Source organism: Homo sapiens, chromosome 1 (assembly GCF_000001405.40).
Source record: "Homo sapiens chromosome 1, GRCh38.p14 Primary Assembly".
Taxonomy (NCBI): Eukaryota; Metazoa; Chordata; class Mammalia; order Primates; family Hominidae; genus Homo; species Homo sapiens.
This window is the reverse complement of record NC_000001.11, coordinates 83,181,842-83,184,309: the sequence shown is the minus strand read 5'-3', so window position 1 is coordinate 83,184,309 and position 2,468 is coordinate 83,181,842. Positions and strand designations below refer to the sequence as shown.

At 45.1% G+C, this 2,468-nt stretch overlaps 1 annotated feature.

The window, feature by feature from the left end:
* Nucleotides 1,885–2,468: an enhancer, noted in NCBI's record as "H3K27ac-H3K4me1 hESC enhancer chr1:83647525-83648108 (GRCh37/hg19 assembly coordinates)". NCBI's record gives its function as "activates a minimal SCP1, AML or CMV promoter by ChIP-STARR-seq in naive H9 embryonic stem cells {active_cell/tissue: H9 hESC(naive)}" and the evidence as "EXISTENCE:reporter gene assay evidence [ECO:0000049][PMID:30033119]".

Sequence of the window (2,468 nt, the reverse complement as noted above, 5' to 3'; positions counted from 1 at the left end):
TGTCTCTGCACGTGAGATGGGTTTCCTGAATACAGCACACTGATGGGTCTTGACTCTTTATCCAATTTGCCAGTCTGTGTCTTTTAATTGGAGCATTTAGTCCATTTACATTTAAAGTTAATATTGTTATGTGTGAATTTGATCCTGTCATTATGATGTTAGCTGGTTATTTTGCTTGTTAGTTGATGCAGTTTCTTCCTAGTCTCGATGGTCTTTACATTTTGGCATGATTTTGCAGCGGCTGGTACCGGTTGTTCCTTTCCATGTTTAGCGCTTCCTTCAGGAGCTCTTTTAGGGCAGGCCTGGTGGTGACAAAATCTCTCAGCATTTGCTTGTCTGTAAAGTATTTTATTTCTCCTTCACTTATGAAGCTTAGTTTCGCTGGATATGAAATTCTGGGTTGAAAATTCTTTTCATTAAGAATGTTGAATATTGGCCCCCACTCTCTTCTGGCTTGTAGGGTTTCTGCCGAGAGATCCGCTGTTAGTCTGATGGGCTTCCCTTTGAGGGTAACCCAACCTTTCTCTCTGGCTGCCGTTAACATTTTTTCCTTCATTTCAACTTTGGTGAATCTGACAATTATGTGTCTCGGAGTTGCTCTTCTCAAGGAGTATCTTTGTGGCGTTCTCTGTATTTCCTGAATCTGAACGTTGGCCTGCCTTGTTAGATTGGGGAAGTTCTCCTGGATAATATCCTGCAGAGTGTTTTCCAACTTGGTTCCATTCTCCCCATCACTTTCAGGTACACCAATCAGACGTAGATTTGGTCTTTTCACATAGTCCCATATTTCTTGGAGGCTTGGCTCATTTCTTTTTATTCTTCTTTCTCTAAACTTCCCTTCTCGCTTCATTTCATTCATTTCATCTTCCATCGCTGATACCCTTTCTTCCAGTTGATCACATTGGCTCCTGAGGCTTCTGCATTCTTCACGTAGTTCTCGAGCCTTGGTTTTCAGCTCCATCAAGTCCTTTAAGCACTTCTCTGTATTGTTATTCTAGTTATACATTCTTCTAAATTTTTTTCAAAGTTTTCAACTTCTTTGCCTTTGGTTTGAATGTCCTCCCATAGCTCAGAGTAATTTGATCATCTGAAGCCTTCTTCTCTCAGCTCGTCAAAGTCATTCTCCATCCAGCTTTGTTCTGTTGCTGGTGCGGAACTGCATTCCTTTGGAGGAGGAGAGGCACTCTGCTTTTTAGAGTTTCCAGATTTTCTGTTCAGTTTTTTCCCCATCTTTGTGGTTTTATCTACTTTTGGTCTTTGATGATGGTGACGTACAGATGGGTTTTTGGTGTGGATGTCCTTTCTGTTTGTTAGTTTTCCTTCTAACAGACAGGACCCTCAGCTGCAGGTCTGTTGGTATACCCTGCTGTTTGAGGTGTCAGTGTTGCCCTGCTGAGGGGTGCCTCCCAGTTAGGCTGCTCAGGGGTCAGGGGTCAGGGGTCAGGGACCCACTTGAGGAGGCAGTCTGCCCGTTCTCAGATCTCCAGCTGAGTGCTGGGCGAAACATTGCTCTCTTCAAAGCTGTCAGACAGTGACATTTAAGTCTGCAGAGGTTACTGCTGTCTTTTTGTTTGTCTGTGCCCTGCCCCCAGAGGTGGAGCCTACAGAGGCAGGCAGGCCTCCTTGAGCTGTGGTGGGCTCCACCCAGTTGGAGCTTCCTGGCTGCTTTGTTTACCTAAGCAAGCCTGGGCAATGGCGGACACCCCTCCCCCAGCCTCACTGCCGCCTTGCAGTTTGATCTCAGACTGCTGTGCTAGCAATCAGCGAGACTCCGTGGGCATAGTACCCTCCCAGCCACGTGCGGGATATAAACTCCGCCGTTTTTTAAGCCTGTCGGAAAAGCGCAGTATTTGGATGGGAGTGACCCGATTTTCCAGGTGCTGTCAGTCACCCCTTTCTTTGACTTGGAAAGGGAACTCCCTGACCCCTTGCGCTTCCCGAGTGAGGCAATGCCTCGCCCTGCTTTGGCTCGCGCACGGTGCGCGCACCCACTGACCTGCGCCCACTGTCTGGCACTCCCTAGAGAGATGAACCCGGTACCTCAGATGGAAATGCAGAAATCACCGTCTTCTGCGTCGCTCATGCTGGGAGCTGTAGACCGGAGCTGTTCCTATTCGGCCATCTTGGCTCCTCCCAGCAGGTTTGAAGATTCTTTTACATTTATTTTTGCTGTTCTAATGGGCTTTAATATGAGACAATTTTTTGAAAAATGCTGATATATTAATAAAAGGGAAATTCATTATATCCATACCCAATATTCTGTTCTGAGCAACACTGAAACAAAGCTTTGGAGAAAGAGAGGCTTTCTGTTTATCATCTCTTATGTTATAAAAGTGTTCTTAAAATACCTTTATTTTCTATGTCAATTAAAATTGCTTTGTAGTAGTGTTGTATATCATCTGGATTACTCAGCTCACAGATATTTTTGCAGTACTCAATTATGTTATGGAGACTGGCTTATGCACGAA